At 53.6% G+C, this 16403-nt stretch overlaps 2 protein-coding genes across 22 annotated transcripts in view, besides 9 other annotated features; both read left to right on the top strand.

The window, feature by feature from the left end:
• ADAMTS10 (ADAM metallopeptidase with thrombospondin type 1 motif 10) overlaps nt 1–8512 on the top strand; it is a 30476-nt gene extending 21964 nt beyond the window's left edge. For 4 of the 8 annotated variants that reach the window (XM_047439480.1, XM_047439481.1, XM_047439483.1 and 1 more), the window contains 7 exons: nt 1856–1936; nt 2031–2194; nt 2282–2408; nt 2501–2630; nt 3092–3620; nt 3698–3857; nt 7750–8512. In XM_047439480.1, the coding sequence (XP_047295436.1) occupies nt 1856–1936; nt 2031–2194; nt 2282–2408; nt 2501–2630; nt 3092–3620; nt 3698–3857; nt 7750–7859 (1301 nt within the window). In that variant the 3' untranslated portion in view covers nt 7860–8512. Of the gene's footprint in view, nt 1–1855; nt 1937–2030; nt 2195–2281; nt 2409–2500; nt 2631–3091; nt 3621–3697; nt 3858–7749 lie in introns of those variants that run through there. The other 4 variants (XM_017027338.3, NM_030957.4, NM_001282352.2 and 1 more) reach the window with 2 other exon arrangements.
• Nucleotides 1861–2438: an enhancer, noted in NCBI's record as "OCT4-H3K4me1 hESC enhancer chr19:8651198-8651775 (GRCh37/hg19 assembly coordinates)". NCBI's record gives its function as "activates a minimal SCP1, AML or CMV promoter by ChIP-STARR-seq in primed H9 embryonic stem cells {active_cell/tissue: H9 hESC(primed)}" and the evidence as "EXISTENCE:reporter gene assay evidence [ECO:0000049][PMID:30033119]".
• Nucleotides 3596–4175: an enhancer, noted in NCBI's record as "H3K4me1 hESC enhancer chr19:8649461-8650040 (GRCh37/hg19 assembly coordinates)". NCBI's record gives its function as "activates a minimal SCP1, AML or CMV promoter by ChIP-STARR-seq in naive H9 embryonic stem cells {active_cell/tissue: H9 hESC(naive)}" and the evidence as "EXISTENCE:reporter gene assay evidence [ECO:0000049][PMID:30033119]".
• Nucleotides 7923–7972: a silencer, noted in NCBI's record as "silent region_10034". NCBI's record gives its function as "represses an Ori minimal core promoter by ATAC-STARR-seq in GM12878 lymphoblastoid cells {active_cell/tissue: GM12878}" and the evidence as "EXISTENCE:reporter gene assay evidence [ECO:0000049][PMID:35858748]".
• Nucleotides 9784–9978: a silencer, noted in NCBI's record as "fragment chr19:8643658-8643852 (GRCh37/hg19 assembly coordinates)". NCBI's record gives its function as "represses an EF-1alpha promoter that drives an FKBP-Casp9 reporter gene in an ReSE screen in HepG2 liver carcinoma cells {active_cell/tissue: HepG2}" and the evidence as "EXISTENCE:reporter gene assay evidence [ECO:0000049][PMID:32094911]".
• Nucleotides 11199–11348: a silencer, noted in NCBI's record as "silent region_10033". NCBI's record gives its function as "represses an Ori minimal core promoter by ATAC-STARR-seq in GM12878 lymphoblastoid cells {active_cell/tissue: GM12878}" and the evidence as "EXISTENCE:reporter gene assay evidence [ECO:0000049][PMID:35858748]".
• Nucleotides 11310–16403, top strand: part of MYO1F (myosin IF) — a 56665-nt gene continuing 51571 nt past the window's right edge. For all 14 annotated transcript variants that reach the window (NR_199720.1, NR_199722.1, NR_199721.1 and 11 more), the window contains exon 1: nt 11310–11445. Coding sequence is in view for 10 of the 14 variants with exons in the window: in NM_001348355.2 (NP_001335284.1) it covers nt 11443–11445 (3 nt within the window). In the remaining 4 variants the exon portion in view is untranslated. The remainder of the gene's footprint in view (nt 11446–16403) is intronic.
• Nucleotides 11886–11935: a silencer, noted in NCBI's record as "silent region_10032". NCBI's record gives its function as "represses an Ori minimal core promoter by ATAC-STARR-seq in GM12878 lymphoblastoid cells {active_cell/tissue: GM12878}" and the evidence as "EXISTENCE:reporter gene assay evidence [ECO:0000049][PMID:35858748]".
• Nucleotides 12056–12235: an enhancer, noted in NCBI's record as "active region_13923". NCBI's record gives its function as "activates an Ori minimal core promoter by ATAC-STARR-seq in GM12878 lymphoblastoid cells {active_cell/tissue: GM12878}" and the evidence as "EXISTENCE:reporter gene assay evidence [ECO:0000049][PMID:35858748]".
• Nucleotides 12406–12465: an enhancer, noted in NCBI's record as "active region_13922". NCBI's record gives its function as "activates an Ori minimal core promoter by ATAC-STARR-seq in GM12878 lymphoblastoid cells {active_cell/tissue: GM12878}" and the evidence as "EXISTENCE:reporter gene assay evidence [ECO:0000049][PMID:35858748]".
• Nucleotides 12806–12865: an enhancer, noted in NCBI's record as "active region_13921". NCBI's record gives its function as "activates an Ori minimal core promoter by ATAC-STARR-seq in GM12878 lymphoblastoid cells {active_cell/tissue: GM12878}" and the evidence as "EXISTENCE:reporter gene assay evidence [ECO:0000049][PMID:35858748]".

Raw genomic sequence — 16403 nt, 5'->3', positions numbered from 1 at the left:
AGAAGCTCATGCCACGTCTGGGTGGAAGCAAGCATCACTTTCCATCCTCTGTGAGCCAGAGGAGCTGCGAGAATGAATGTTCTGTGCTAGCAGGGAAAGGCTTACTACGGGAGGGGATATTCAGAGAATGTAGAAAGCACCTTTTCCAGCTTGGGCTTTGGGCAAGTGACAGAGAGCCCAGGGAGTGGGCAAGAGGGGAGGAGGCTCAGGAAATATCTGGAAGGCTGAGGAAGCCGTAGGCACTGTCAGAGGGAGGGAGTGTGTCCAGGTGAGGCAGGAGTAGGTTGCAGAGTGTGAGTTTCAGTCCCCAGGTAGAGTCCCATTGGGGTTTTATAATAAGCAGCCTGGCCGCTGGCATCAAAAGTGAGACAGGCACGGTGGCTCACACCTGTAATCCCAGGGCTTTGGGAGGCTGAAGCGGGAGGATCCCTTGAGCCCAGGAGTTTGAGACCAGCCTGGGCAACCTAGGGAGACCCCAACTCTACAAAAAAAAAAATTTTTTTTGAGACAGAGTCTCAATCTGTCACCCAGGCTAGAATGCAGTGGCTTGATCTCGGCTCACTGCAACCTCTGCCTCCCAGGTTCAAGAAATTCTCCTGCCTCACCATCCCAAGTAGCTGAGACTACAGACATGCACTACATGCCCGGCTAATTTTTGTATCTTTAGAAGAGATGGGGTTTCACCATATTGGCCAGGCTGGCCTGGAACTCCTGACCTCAAGCGATCCACCCACCTAAGCCTCCCAAAGTGCTAGGATTACAGGTGTGAGCCACCACACCCGGCCAAACTCTACAAAATTCTTTTTTTTTTTTTTTTTTTTGAGATGGGGTCTCGCTCTGTCACACAGGCTAGAGTGCAGTGGTGCCATCTCAACTCACTGCAAGCTCCACCTACCAGGTTCATGCCATTCTCCTGCCTCAGCCTCCCAAGTAGCTGGGACTACAGGAGCCCGCCACCACGCCTGGCTAATTTTTTGTATTTTTAGTAGAGATGGGGTTTCACCGTGTTAGCCAGGTTGGTCTCAATCTCCTGACCTCATGATCTGCCCGCCTCAGCCTCCCAATGTGCTGGGATTATAGGCGTGACCACTGTGCCCGGCTACAAAATTCTTTTAATTAGGCGGGTGTGGTGGTGTACACCTGTAGTTCCAGCTGCTCGAGAGGCTGAGAGGCAGGAGGATCCCTTGAGCCCAGGAGGTCAAGGCTGCAGTAACCTATGATCGCACCACTGCACTCCAACCTGGGTGACAGAGTGAGATCCTGTCTGAAAAAAAAAAAAAGCTGGCCAGGCTCATACCGGTGCTCCCAGCACTTTGGGAGGCTGAGGCAAGAGGATCACTTGAGCCCAGGAGTTTGAGACCAGCCTGAGCAACTTAAGGAGACCCCCAACTCTACAAAAAAAAAAAAAAAAAAAAAAAGGTTTTTTAGTTAGCCAGGTGTGGTGGCTCACGCCTGTAGTCCCAGCTACTCCAGAGGCTGAGGTGGGAGGATCACCTAAGCCTAGGAGTCTGAGGCTGTAGCAAGCCAAGATCACTTCACTGCACTCCAGCCTGGGCAACAGAGACATCCTGTCTCCAAAAAAAAAAAAGAAAGAAAGAAAGAAAGAAAAATCCTAACCCAGTCATTTCCTAGCTGTAAAACCTGGTCAAGTTCCTTAGCTTCTCTGAGCCTCAGTTTTGTCAGCCCTAAAATGGGGATAATGAAACACCTGGTTCACAAGGGTGGGGCAGGGGTGCAGTTAGATGTGTGTTTAGCGCAGTAATAGTTAGCTGTTATCCTCATGGGCCGGGGACAGGGGAGGCAGGCAGGTGTTGGGGACATGCCAAGTGGGTGACATCTGAGCTCTGCTGTTCAGGGTACGAGGATGTCGTCTGGATTCCCAAAGGCTCCGTCCACATCTTCATCCAGGATCTGAACCTCTCTCTCAGTCACTTGGGTGAGCAGATGGTGGGGAGGGGATGAGGATTAGGGGTCAGTGGGGAGGGCGGTTTCAGCATGACTAGAATTCTGAACCCTGCATCGTCCCCCAGCCCTGAAGGGAGACCAGGAGTCCCTGCTGCTGGAGGGGCTGCCTGGGACCCCCCAGCCCCACCGTCTGCCTCTAGCTGGGACCACCTTTCAACTGCGACAGGGGCCAGACCAGGTCCAGAGCCTCGAAGCCCTGGGACCGATTAATGCATCTCTCATCGTCATGGTAACAGGGAGACTGGGGGCAAGGTGCAGCCTTTGGAATTAGAGACTCCATGCGATCCTTCCACTGGCTGCCGCCCCCTTTCTCCAGGTGCTGGCCCGGACCGAGCTGCCTGCCCTCCGCTACCGCTTCAATGCCCCCATCGCCCGTGACTCGCTGCCCCCCTACTCCTGGCACTATGCGCCCTGGACCAAGTGCTCGGCCCAGTGTGCAGGCGGTGAGGCCGGGGGTGGGGGAAGGCACAAGATACCTGGGCTGAGGTTCTCTGGGCCGGGAGGGGCTGAGCAGGCCTCTCACCCTCCCCTCCAGGTAGCCAGGTGCAGGCGGTGGAGTGCCGCAACCAGCTGGACAGCTCCGCGGTCGCCCCCCACTACTGCAGTGCCCACAGCAAGCTGCCCAAAAGGCAGCGCGCCTGCAACACGGAGCCTTGCCCTCCAGAGTGAGTGCCGCCAGGGGGCAGTGTTGCTCAGGGTGAGAGGAGAGTACTCCCTGGAGTCAAGAGCGAGTGCTCCAGGGGGGTGGGGAGCAGATTAGTGCAGAGTCGGAGTGACAGTGGGCCGAGTGCTGCAGTGATGGTTCTATAGGAGTTATGGGGGAGTCCAAGGTAATAGTGCCCCCAAGGTGGCGGTCAAAGCTGCATGGCCCTGGAGTCAGAATGATGGCGCTGCCTGGTCACTCGCATTGTCCAAAGATTTATTTCTCCTTAGGGTAATGCACCTCTCTGCCCCCAGTCTGGGTGCAGGCTAACGATGCCCCAAGTGTGGAATGTGGAGGTGCCTGGTGCCAGTTTCCATATGAGGCTGGGTGATTGGAAGGGTGGGGGTAGGCTATAGTGCCCCCTGCTGTTGTGTTGGGACCCCCTGCCCTGCTTACTTGCTCAGACCCCTTCATCTCTTACAGCTGGGTTGTAGGGAACTGGTCGCTCTGCAGCCGCAGCTGCGATGCAGGCGTGCGCAGCCGCTCGGTCGTGTGCCAGCGCCGCGTCTCTGCCGCGGAGGAGAAGGCGCTGGACGACAGCGCATGCCCGCAGCCGCGCCCACCTGTACTGGAGGCCTGCCACGGCCCCACTTGCCCTCCGGAGTGGGCGGCCCTCGACTGGTCTGAGGTCAGCCGCCCCCTTCCTTCGCGCCCACTGGGATGCCCAGGTGGGGTGTCCACGGAGACGCCTCTGCGCGGTCTCCAGGTTAGCTGTCCCCTCCTCACTTCGCACTGGGGCAGCACCCTGAGCACGAAACGCCCCTTCCAACTGCAGTGCACCCCCAGCTGCGGGCCGGGCCTCCGCCACCGCGTGGTCCTTTGCAAGAGCGCAGACCACCGCGCCACGCTGCCCCCGGCGCACTGCTCACCCGCCGCCAAGCCACCGGCCACCATGCGCTGCAACTTGCGCCGCTGCCCCCCGGCCCGCTGGGTGGCTGGCGAGTGGGGTGAGGTAGGAGGGCGCGCCCCAGAGGGGTGGGGGCCAGGGCAGGGGCTGCGGGGCAGCAACTGAGTGGTGCCCCCTCGCAGTGCTCTGCACAGTGCGGCGTCGGGCAGCGGCAGCGCTCGGTGCGCTGCACCAGCCACACGGGCCAGGCGTCGCACGAGTGCACGGAGGCCCTGCGGCCGCCCACCACGCAGCAGTGTGAGGCCAAGTGCGACAGCCCAACCCCCGGGGACGGCCCTGAAGGTATGTGGGTGACCAGCCAGGGTGCGCCAGGAGGGTCCTGGCCAGAGGCAGCCACAGAGGGCATTGGGGGTCCTGACTTCATCCTAGAACTTCTGGAACCTCGGAAATGCATTGCTGTGTCTCTGCCAGGCCATCCTTCACCATCCCCTCCCTGCAAGCATTTATTAAGTGCCACTGTATGCTGAGTGTTTCAGGCACCTGACCCTTCTGTGCACCCAAACTTGTGACATTTCCCCAGTCACTTTCATAACCTGTACCTATTCATCTCCACCTGTAGCACAATTTCCTGAATATTTTTCCTTTAAATCGGTTTTTCAACCTCAGGCACTAGTGACATTTTGAGCTAGATGATTGCCGTGGGGAGCTGTCCAGCACATTGTAGGGTTTTTTGTTTGTTTGTTTTTCTTTTTTGGAGAGATGGGGTCTTGCTGTGTTACTCAGGCTGGTCTCCAACTCCTGGGCTCAAGCGATCCTCCCACCTCAGCCTCCCAAAGTGCTGGGATTTGTGCCAGCCTGTAAGATGTTCAGCAGCATCCCCGGCTTCTACCCACTGGGTGCCAGTAGCAGCCTTCTCCCAAGTTATGACAACTAAAAACGTCTCCAGACATTGCCCAATGTCCCCTGGGGGTCAAAATCGATCACTTCCCTTGAGAACCACTGCTTTTAAGTATACACATTTTTTTCTGCCTAGGTAATTTTTTTTATTTTTTTATTTACTTTTTTTTTTTTTTTTTTTTTTTGAGATGGAGTCTCGCTGTCACCCAGGCTGGAGTGCAGTGACCTGATCTCGGCTCACTGCAACCTCCGCCTCCTGGGTTCAATCGATTCTCCTGCCTCAGCCTGCTGAGTAGCTGGGAGTACAGGTGCCCGCCACCACACCCAGCTAATTTTTGTATTTTTAGTAGAGACAGGGTTTCACCATGTTGGCCAGGCTGGTCTCAAACTCCTGACCTTGTGATCCGCCGGCCTTGGCCTCCCAAAGTGCTGGGATTAAAGGCGTGAGCCACCATGCCCAGCCTTATTTACTTATTTATTTTTGAGACCGGGACTCACTTTGTCACCCACGTTGGAGTGCAGTAGAGCGATCTCGGCTCACTGCAACCTCCACCTCCCAGGCTCAAGCGATCCTCCTGTCTCAGCCCCAAGTCTCCCCAAGGACTACAGGCAAGAGCCACAGTGCCCAGTTAATTTTTGTATTCTTGTATTCTTTGATAGAGACGGGGTTTTTCTATGTAGCCCAGGCTGGTCTTGAACTCCTGGCCTCAAGTAATCCACCCGCCTCGGCCTCCCAAAGTGCTGGGATTACAGGCGTGAGCCACTGCGCCTGGCTGTAAATTTTTTTTTTTCTTGTTTTGAGACAAAGTCTCACTCTGTCACCCAGGCTGTAGTGCAGTGGCATGATCTCAGCTCACTGCAACCTCCACCTCCTGGGTACAAGTGATTCTCCTGCCTCAGCCTCCTGAGCAGCTGGGATTACAGGCACGTGCCACCATGACCAGCTAATTTTTGTATTTTTAGTAGAGATGGGGTTTCACCATATTGGCCAGGCTGGTCTCGAATTCCTGACCTCAGGTGATCTGCCCGCCTTGGCCTCCCAAAGTGCTGGGATTACAGGCATGAGCCACCGCGCCAGGTCCATAAATTTATTTTTGATAGAGAACAATTAATTCCTTAGTCTGGGCACTGCAACCAAACTACCTGGGTTCATCTTCCACCTCTGTGTTTTTGTTTCTTTATCTGTCACGGGATGTAAATGATATATTCACTTGAGGGGTGCCCCAGAAGGGAGATGCAATAAAATGATCCACCCAGGCCGGGCGAGGTGGCTCATGCCTGTAATCCCAGCACTTTGGGAGGCTGAACTGGAAAGATTGCCTGAGCCCAGGAGTTGGAGACCAGCCTGAGAGACATAGTAAGACACCTGTATCTACAAAAAATAAAATTAGGCTGGGCGTGGTGGCTCACGCCTGTAATCCCAACACAATGGGAGGCCAAGGTGGGCAGATCACCTGAGGTCAGGAGTTTGAGACTAACCTGGCCAGCATGGCGAAACCCCAGATCTACTAAGAATACAAAAATTAGACAGGGGTGGTGGCATGTGCCTGTAATCCCAGCTACTCGGGAGGCTGAGGCAGGAGTGTCTCTTGAACCCAGGAGGTGGAGGTTGCAGTGAGCCAAGATTGTGCCACTGCACTCCAGCCTGGGCGACCAAAAAAAAAAAAAAAATCCATCTGTAGCTTTTAATTCGCCCCTGGTCCTGCCATAAATCACTGGCCGCTAGATGGAAGCTCATATCCATCCATAGTCATCAACAGACATCATGATCACACAAAATAGTCAATGTTCTGAAAAATACCCTGACTCACCCACTCAGCTGGGACTCAAGAGCTTCAGGTTTTGTTTTGTTTGTTTTTGTTTTGCTTTGTTTTGAGACGGAGTCTCACTGTCGCCCAGGCTGGAATGCAGTGATGCAATCTCCGCTCACTGCAAGCTCCACCTCCCAGGTTCACGCCATTCTCCTGCCTCAGCCTCCTGAATAGCTGGGACTACAGGCGCCTGCCACCACGCCCGGCTAATTTTTGTATTTTTAGTAGAGACGGGGTTTCACCATGTTAGCCAGGATGGTCTCGATCTCCTGACCTCATGATCCGCCCGACTCAGCCTCCCAAAGTGCTGTGATTACAGGCGTGAGCCACCATGCCCGGCCTATCTTCACTTTATTAAAAAAGAAAACGAGTGAGGATTACAGCCCCAAATGGACATTTTTTCCTGGGTGCTATGAAAAGGAACAATGGAAAGGAAAGGGAATATTTGTCTTCTTTTGTTTTATTGGGTCGTGTTTGTTTGTTTGTTTGTTTGTTTGTTTGACAGGGTCTCGCTCTGTCGCCCAGGCTAGAGTGCAGTGGTGCCATCATAGCTCACTGCAGCCTCCACCTCCTGGGCTCAAGCGATCCTCCAGCCTCAGCCTCTTGAGTAGCTGGGACTACAGGCACATGCCACAACACCCGGCTAATTTTTCCTTTTTTTTTTTTTTGTTTTTTTGTTTTTTTGTTTTGTTTTGTGACAGAGTCTCGCTCTGTCTCCCAGGCTGGAGTACAGTGGTGCAATCGCGGCTCACTGAAACCTCTGCCTCCCGGGTTCAGGCAATTCTCCTGCCTCAGGCTGTCGAGTAGCTGGGATTACAGGCACCCGCCACCACGCCCAGCTAATTTTTATATTTTTAGTAGAGATGGGGTTTGATCACGTTGGCCAGGCTGGTTTCAAACTCCCGACCTGAAGTGATCCACCTGCCTCGGCCTCCCAAAGTGCTGAGATTACAGGCATGAGCCACCATGCCCAGCCTATTTTTTTCTTTTAATTAGTTTTTGTAGATGCAGTGCTCTCACTATGTTGCCCAGGCTGGTCTCAAACTCCTGGGCTCAAGCAGTCCTCCTGCCTTGGTCTCCCAAAGTGCTGGGATTACAGGCATGATACACTGTACCCGGCCCTTTTCTCATTACTAATGTGTCTGTGTTGGCCCCCAACCCTACACTCTCTCTCTTAAATCCTCAAAACAGCCTAGTGACATCGGTGCTATTATAAGCCCCCTTTGATAGTTGAGGAAACTAAGGCACAGAAGTCAGGCGTGGTTTGCTCACACCTGTAGTCCCAACTACTTAGGAGGCTGAGGTGAGAGGATCACTTGAGCTCAAGAGGTGGAGACCAGCCTGGTCAACATAGCAAGATAACATCTGTAAAAAAAAAAAAAAAAAAAAAAAAAAAAAGTAAATTTAAAAAGAAAGAAACCAAGGCACAGAAAGTCACTGGCCAGGAAGCACTGCAGGTCGTGTGTGCAGCCCTGCGGGGAGGGCAGCTGAGACCTGATTTTTCCTTCCTTCTCCCGTCCCCGCAGAGTGCAAGGATGTGAACAAGGTCGCCTACTGCCCCCTGGTGCTCAAATTTCAGTTCTGCAGCCGAGCCTACTTCCGCCAGATGTGCTGCAAAACCTGCCATGGCCACTAGGGGGCGCGCGGCACCCGGAGCCACAGCTGGCGGGGTCTCCGCCGCCAGCCCTGCAGCGGGCCGGCCAGAGGGGGCCCCGGGGGGGCGGGAACTGGGAGGGAAGGGTGAGACGGAGCCGGAAGTTATTTATTGGGAACCCCTGCAGGGCCCTGGCTGGGGGGATGGAGAGGGGCTGGCTATCCCCCCAGAGCCCCTCTTCAGCATCCGCCCCTTCCAGTTCACATAGTGAGACCCCCCCTCCAGGGTGGGTCTGGGGAGGGGACAGCTGTTCACCCCAGCACCCTTTGAACCCACCCTTAGGGAGTCCCCAACACTCCCCCCCTCCTTTGATCGGAATATGTACTGTGAAGAGTAGGGGTGGGGAGGTGGTCTGCCGGTGCCCTGCCCCCCAGCACTGCCCTACCCCTCCACTCCGAGCTGGGGGGGAATCTGTGTCTGCTATGGGAGGGGGGGGGGTAGCACCACCTCCCTGACACCCTCCCCTGACCTGACTAGGGGGAGGATCCACCCCAACCTCTGCCCTGCCCGCCCCAGGGGCACCCCGACATCCAGGCCACCCCCTCATGGTGCTACAGACCCTGCCCTGGGGCCCACACACTCCTGCCAGGAAGCCCTACATCAATAAAGTTCTGTCTTGTGTAGATTTCTACGAATTGCGGTGTGTGTGTGTCAGTGCATCCAGTAGCCCCCACCCAGGTCTGGAAAGGACCACCCATTCTCCCAGGTCTACCCAACAGCCAAAAGGGGACTTCTTTTTTTTTTTTCCTGAGACGGTCCCTGTCGCCCAGCTATGCCTATCATAGCTCACTGCAGCCTTGATCTCCTGGACTCAAGTGATCCTCCCACTTCCACCTTCTGAATAGCTGGGACTACAGGCGTGCACGACCACACCCAGCTGATTTATTTATTTTTTTTTTTTATTTTTTTTTTTTTTTGAGACGGAGTCTTGCACTGTTGCCCAGGCTGGAGTGCAGTGGCACGATCTCGGCTCACTGCAAGCTCCGCCTCCTGGGTTCATGCCATTCTCGCCTCAGCCTCCCGAGTAGCTGGCACTACAGGCGCCCGCCAACATGCCCAGCTAATTTTTTGTACTTTTTTAGTAGAGACGGGGTTTCACCGTGTTAGCCAGGATGGTCTCGATCTCCTGACCTCGTGATCTGCCCGCCTCGGCCTCCCAGAGTGCTGGGATTACAGGCATGGGCCACCGTGCCCAGCCAGAAGGGGACTTTTAACATTGCAGACAGGAACCCAGGGATTTTAGGAGAAAAGTACAACAGCTTCTCGTGGAAGGGTTTTGCTTTTTTGTTTTTGTTTTTTGAGACAGGGTCTCACTCTGTAGCCCAGGCTGGAGTTCAGTGGCACGATCTCAGCTCACTGCAGCCTTGAACTCCTGGGCTTAAACGATTCTCCTGCCTACCCTGCCAAGTAACTGAGATTATAGGTGCAACAGCACACCTAGCTGATTTTTTAATTTTTTGTAGAGACGAGGTCTTGCTATGTTGCCCAAGCTGGTCTGGAACTCCTGGGCTCAAGCGATCCTCCCACCTCAGCCTCCCAAAGTTCTGGGATTACAGGCATCAGCCACCATGCCTGGCCCTCACAGAGGCTCTTAAAGCCACACGGTCTAGCACCTGCCACCCTGGCCATCACACTCTCCGTCACTCCGCATGCTCCAGCCACACCAGCCTCCCCGAACTTCCTCAATTGCCCTATGGTTTTCCCATATCTGGGCCTTTGCTTGAGCGCTTAGCATGGCCAGGTGCACGCTCCTGCCCCTTTACCTTTTTTAACTCCAGCTTACTCGCCGGTGTCAGCACAAACGTTGCCTCTTCCTAGAAGCCTCCCCTGATGGCCCCCAACAAAGTGGGGTCCTCTTACCCATTCATATTCACTCTTGAGTGCCTGGAGACATTGCTGAGAATTGCATGCCCCAAGCCCGTCAATTCTGCAAACTCGCTCAGGAGATTCCAGCAGAGACGGGCTCCTTCCCAGCTGTGGCCACTAGGGGCGCTGCATATTAACATCTTCAAGGGGGATGCGGGTTTATCGCCCTGGACCAAAGATAGATCTGAACATGGGTCCCCCAGGGTCTCCCAGGGTCGGGTCCTGCCTCGGCCACCTCCTTGCTGGGTGGTGTGGGGAAGTAACAACCTATTAGAACTGCCATTTCCTCACATGTCAAGAGGAGCCTCAGGTGGTTGGCTGGTGTCCCAAAGACCAGCTCATAGGCTGACACGTACCTGGGCCAGGCTCTGCTGGGGGGACCCACGTTCCCATTTTACAATGAGAAAAGGGAGTAACTAAGTCATCCAGGAAGTAGCCAAACTGGAGGCTGTTAAATCTAGATGTGACATCCAAAGTCAGGGACCTTTCAGATGCACCTGCTTCCCAGTACCCTCCACTTCTGCACACAAACACGTGTGACTTCTGAGGGTCATCTAAAGAGGGAGGTTGGGCCAGGCGTGGTGGCTTATGCCTGTAATCCCAGCACTTTGGGAGGCCGAGTTGGGAGGATCACCTGAGGTCAGGAGTTCAAGGCCGGCCTGGCCAACATGGCGAAATTCCGTCTCTACTAAAAATACAAATATTAGCCAGGTGTGGCGGTGGGCACCTGTAATCCCAGCTACTCAGGAGGCTGAGGCAGGAGAATCGCTTGAACCCAGGAGGCGGAGATTAAAGTAAGCTGAGATTGCACCACTGCATTCTAGCCTGGGTGACAGAGCTAGACTCCGTCTCAAAATAATAACAATAATAATAATGAAGGAGGTTGCCCAGGGATGCCCAGAGCAGACACAGCTGAAGAAGGCACCCTTCCCTGTTGTTGTTGTTTTTTTGGTTTTTTTGTTTTTTCTGGTTTGTTTTTAGAGACAGGGTCTCACTCTTTCGCCCAGGCTGGAGTGCAGTGGCGCAATCAGGGCTCACTGAGGCCTCCACCTCCCAGGTTCAAGCAATCCTCCCACCTCAGCCCTCTGAGTAGCTGGGACTGCAGGCTCATGCCACCATGCCCAGCTAATTTTTTTTCTTTTCATTTTTTGTAGAGATGGGGTCATGCTATATAGCCCAGGCTGGTCTCAAACTCCTGGACTCAAGCGATCCTCCAACCTTGGCCCCCCAAAGTATTGGGATTACAGGCGTGAGCCACCTCCCCTGGGCCCCTTCCTTGGTTTTAAAAAGAGACCCGGGAAGCCCAAATGCTTCCTGAATCGCCCTGAAAAGAGGTGGTTCGTCCTGCAGCCAGCTGACCCAAATGTTCCTGCAGCAGCCCTGTCCCCAAGGAGTTGGGGAAGAGGCCTCTGAGGTCCAGTAGTGGCTGCCATCAAGTTCTGACCCCTCCCTTCAGGCTCAGAGCCCCAAACAGCCAGCTCCCCGCCCCCCTCCACACCCAGCTTCCCTCCCCCATGGCCTCGGCCCCTCCCGCCAAAGGAAGTGAGAAGGGGCTGTTGTAAGAGGAACTAAAGCCGGGAGTCCGGTGAACGGGCAGAAGCAGGGCCATGCCCAAGCCACCCCCAAGATCCCCCTGAACCTGCACCTCCATCACGACCCATTCAGGAGCCTCCAGGAGCCCAGACACCAGCCCCCCACCATGGTAAGTCCTTCAAGGGTGGGATCTGGAAGAAGAAAGAGGAGGGACACCAGCCAGGTGGAGGTGTCCTAAAAATGACCATCAGAAATTGGGGTGAGGGGAGGGGCATGGTGGACTTCTGTGGGGGTGGGGTGTCTCTCAGTGCAGCTCAGGTGCCTCCAGCATCCCTTACCAGGGAGCAAGCTCCCATCTGTAGGTGGTGGGGATGCCAGGGTGGTATCCCTGGATCCAAGGATAGGGCAGGACCTGGAAGACAGAAGGTGGCCCAGGGAGAATCACAGAGTCTGCAGGGACAAGGACATAGCCTCCTTTGCTTGCAAATTAAGGGAGCCCTTTCCCAGTCCAGCCCAGTCTCTCGTCTCCCTGTGTAGCCTTGGGCTAGTCACTTCCCCTCTCTTGGCCCCGGTTCCCACAGATGTCATATTTGGAAATCCGTCTAGATGCGGAAGTTGCTCTTCAGGGGTCTTTCAGTTGCAACATTCTCAAGGTCTGTGGGTTCTGCCACAGAGTCCTCGGCTGAGATGGGAAGCTATGTCTAACAAGCGATGGGGTGGATTGACGCCCTCCCTGTGCCGGTGACGGGCGGTATGGCTGCAGCAGAGGCAGGAGAGGCTGAATACGTCCATGCCACCCTTTGGTGGGCATCCCTTATCCCAAGAGGAGGATGGCAGCCAGAGGTGTTGCTGCCTGTCAAGTCTGAGGTCTGTCGATGATAGCAACGGGGAGACTGTCGTGATCATGGCGCTATTCCTAGCAGTATCGTACCACCATAAGACGCAAAGTAAGAGGTGGCCAGGGCTGACCCCACCCCACAGCTCTCTGCTGTGTAGACCACTTCAGCTTTCATTTCTCGTCATTCAGTCAGTGAGGATGAGAGCATGTGGCTGTGACAGCGGCCACTGCAGGATTCTTGGCAGGTACAGCTTACTAGGGTGGAGTCAGGGACATAGGGCAAGAGGCAGAGGTGGTGTTAGTCTGAGAGACAACACCTTCTTTCAGGAAGCCAGTGAGGGCCAGGGACAGTGGCTCATGCCTGTAATCCCAGCATTTTAGGAGGCTGAGACAGGTAGATCACTTGAGGTCAGGTGTTCGAGACCAGCCTGGCCAACGTGGTGAAACCTCGTCTCTACTAAAAAATACAAAAAATTAACTGGGCGTGGTGGCACACGCCTGTAATCCCAGCTACATATGAGGCTGAGGCAAGAGAATAACTTGAACCCAGGAGGCGGAGGGTGCAGTGAGCTGAGATCCTGCCGCTGCACTCCAGCCTGGGTGACAGAGCACACTCCGTCTCAAAAAAGGAAAGCTGATGAGAAATTGGGCATCCCGGAATTCACACCCAAACCATCAGCTGGAGCTCTGAGACTGTTGGGGTGGGAATTCTTCCAAGATGAGAAGCAAGCCAGGGAGGCTCAGGTCCTGGGATGGGCAGGGCTTTGATCAAAAGAACACAGGAAGTGATTTGCTACTTGAAAGAAAGGCAACCCCTCCCCAAGGAAGCCCTCTGAAAATGCTTAGTCAACAGTCGGCTTGGCAGACAAGGTCTGGGAGGGGCCACCCGTATCGCAGAGGATGATAGAAGAGAAAAAAATGACACCCACCTCTGTCTGGGGATGCTGAAATCTTCCTGGAGGAGTGGTGAATGCCAGGAAGATCGCTGAAGGATTCAATGAAACAGTATTTCTGAAGTCCTTTACAACAGGGTCCCCAACCCCCGGGGTCATGGACTGCTATCGGGCCATGGTCTGTCTGTTAGAAACCATGAGCCCTATCGGGTCACAGAGCAGGAGATGAGTGGCAGGCAAGCAAGCCCGAGCTCCACCTCCTCTCAGATTCTCGGGGGCGCCATTAGATTATCACAGGATCGCAAACCCTGTTGTGAACTGCACACACGAGGGATCCAGGTTGCATGCTGCTTATGACAATCTAATGCCCGGCCGGGTGCGGTGGCTCACACCTGTAATCCTAGCACTTTGGGAGGCCGAGGCGGGCAGATCACGAAGTCAAGAGATAGAAACGATCCTGGCCAACGTGGTGAGACCCCGTCTCTCCTAAAAATACAAAAATGAGCTGGGTGTGGTGGCACATGCCTGTCATCCTAGCTACTCGGGAGGCTGAGGCAGGAGAATCGCTTGAACCCGGGAGGCGGAGGTTGCAGTGAGCCAAGATCACACCATTGCACTACAGCCTCGGCGACAGAGCCAGACTCCGTCTCAAAAAAAAAAAAAAAAGAAAAAGAAAATCTAATGCCGTTGGCAGGGTGCAGTGGCTCATGCCTGTAATCTCAACACTTTTGGAGGCCGAGGTGGGCGGATCACCTGAGGTCAAGAGTTCAAGACCAGCCTGGCCAACATGGCAAAACCCTGTCTCTACTAAAAATACAAAAATTAGCCAGTCGTGGTGGTGCGCGCCTGTAACCCCAGCTACCCGGGAACCTGAGATAGGAGAATCACTTGAACCCAGGAGGCAGAGGTCGCAATGAGACGAGATCACGCCACTGCACTCCAGCCTGGGCCACAGAGAGAGGCTCCATCTCAAAAAAAAAAGAAAGAGAGAGAGAAAGAAAGAAAGAAAAAGAAAGAAAGAAAGAGAAAGAAAAAGAAAGAAAGAGAGAAAGAGAAAGGAAGAAAGAAAGAAAGAGAGAAAGAAGAAAGAGAAAGAAAGGAAAGAAAGAAAGAAAGAAAGAAAGAAAGAAAGAAAGAAAGAAAGAAAGAGAGAGAGAGAGAGAGAGAAAGAAAGAAAGAAAGAAAGAAAGAAAGAAAGAAAGAAAGAAAGAAAGGGAAAAAAGAAGAAATAAAGGAAAAGAAAGAAAAGAAAATCTAATGCCCCGCTCCATGGTCCATGGAAAAATTGTCTTCCATTAAACCGGTCTCTGGTGCCAAAAATGTTGGGGACCATTGCTTTACAGAGCACATAACATGCACTTGATCCATGGTAGCTGCCATTAGCTGGGATGTCCATTCATTTCTGGATTCAGCAATGAGGATGGACGGAGGTGACGATTGTGGTAATTGGGGAGGAGTTGCTGCGAGTGGTCATTGCTGGGTTGTTGGTGTCATTGGTTGTGGTGGTGGTTGTGGCTGTTTCTTGTTGCAGGTTCGTGGTGATAATGGCTCTTGCAGGTGGGCTGGTGGTGGTGGCGGTTGGTGTTTAATGTTGTTCGTTGGTGGTGGATTGTTTTCAGCTGGAAATTCTGGAGATGCTTGGTGACCAGTGGAATGATGACCATCGGTGGTTGCTGTTATTTGGAGAGGAAAGGTGTTGGTAGTAGCGTTCATTTGCTGCTGGTAGTTTATTGTTGGTTTCTGGTAAGATGATGATCAGCAATGGTGGTGCTGGTTCAATGTTGGGTTTTGAACAGGATAGGACTGGTGACTGCTGCTTTCTGTGGTTGCTAATGGTAGTTGGTTATGTGTGGTTGTTGATGGCTAGTATTGTTTTTTTGTTTTGTTTTGTTTCTGAGACAGAGTCTCGCTCTGTCACCCCGGCTGGAGTGCAGTGGTGCAATCTCGGCTCACTGCAACCTCCACCTCCTGGCTTCAAGCAATTCTCGTGCCTCAGCCTCCCAAGTAGCTGAGATTACAAGCACCTGCCACCACACCCAGCTAATTTTTGTGCTTTTAGTGGAGACGGGGTTTCGCCATGTTGGCCAGGCTGGTCTCCAACTCCTAACCTCAAGTGATCCACCCGCTTTGGCCTCCCAAAGTGTGAGATTACAGGTGTGAGCCACTGTGCCTGGCCGATGACTAGATGGTGGTTGGTTATTATAGCGTGGTGGTGGTGGTGGTGGTGATCGTGGGAGAATGTAAGGAAGGCTGATGCTGGAATTGCTCATGGGACCTGTCTGACATTGGCTAGTCATGATGGTATTGGAGTTATCAGCAGTTTCTGTTTGTCTTTGAGAAGGGTAGGAGAGAGAGTGAAGACGTTCACTGGTTGCCTTTGGTTGGTGATGGTGGTCATGTGAGGATAATAGTGATTGTCTCTTCTTTTTTTTTTGAGACAGAGTCTCGCTCTGTCACCCAGGATGGAGTGCAGTGGCATGATCTTGGCTCACTGCAAGCCCCACCTCCTAGGTTCATGCCATTCTCCTGCCTCAGCCTCCCGAGTAGCTGGGACTACAGGCGCCCGCCACCATGCCTGGCTAATTTTTTTCTATTTTTTTAGTAGAGATGGGGTTTCACCGTGTTAGCAAGGATGGTCTCGATCTCCTGACCTCGTGATCTGCCCGCCTCAGCCTCCCAAAGTGCTGGGATTATAGGCGTGAGCCACCACACCTGGCCAATAGTGATTGTTTCTAAGGTACAGTCACAGGGCCAGGAACAATGGCTCATGCCTGTAATCCCAACAGTTTGGAAGACGGAGGTGGGAGGATCACTTGAGGCCAGATGTTCGAGACCAGCCTGGGAGACATGGCAATACCCCATCTCTACAAAGCATTTAAAAGTTAGCCAGGCATGGTGGCATGGACCTGTAGTACCAGCTAATTGGGAAGCTGAGGTGGGAAGATCACTTGAGCCCAGGAGTTCCAGGCTGCAGTGAGCTGTGATGGCCCCACTGCACTCCAGCCTGAGCAACAGAGACAGACTCTGTTTCTAAACAAATAAATAAGATACAGCCACAAAGCAGGGAGACCAGTGAAGTGGCTGCTGGGTCCAGAATCAGTGGCCATGAGGATGGACAGGAAAGGCTGGGAGTCAAAAGGAATTTAGGAGAAAGAATCAGTTAAGACCACTAACTGGGCACGGGCACAGTGGCTCACACCTGTAATCCCAGCACTTTAGGAGGCCGAGGCAGGTGGATCACTTGAGGTCAGGTGTTCGAGACCAGTCTGGCCACCATGGTGAAACCCCATCTCTACTAAAAATACAAAAATTAGCCAAGCGGGGTGGCATGTGCCTGTAATCCCAGCTACTCAGGAGGCTGAGGCAGCAGAATCGCTTGAACCCGAGAGGCAGAGG

This window comes from Homo sapiens, chromosome 19 (genome assembly GCF_000001405.40).
Source record: "Homo sapiens chromosome 19, GRCh38.p14 Primary Assembly".
In the NCBI taxonomy this organism is placed as follows: Eukaryota; Metazoa; Chordata; class Mammalia; order Primates; family Hominidae; genus Homo; species Homo sapiens.
Note: the sequence above shows the minus strand (reverse complement) of the source record. Positions and strands in the feature narration are given on the sequence as shown.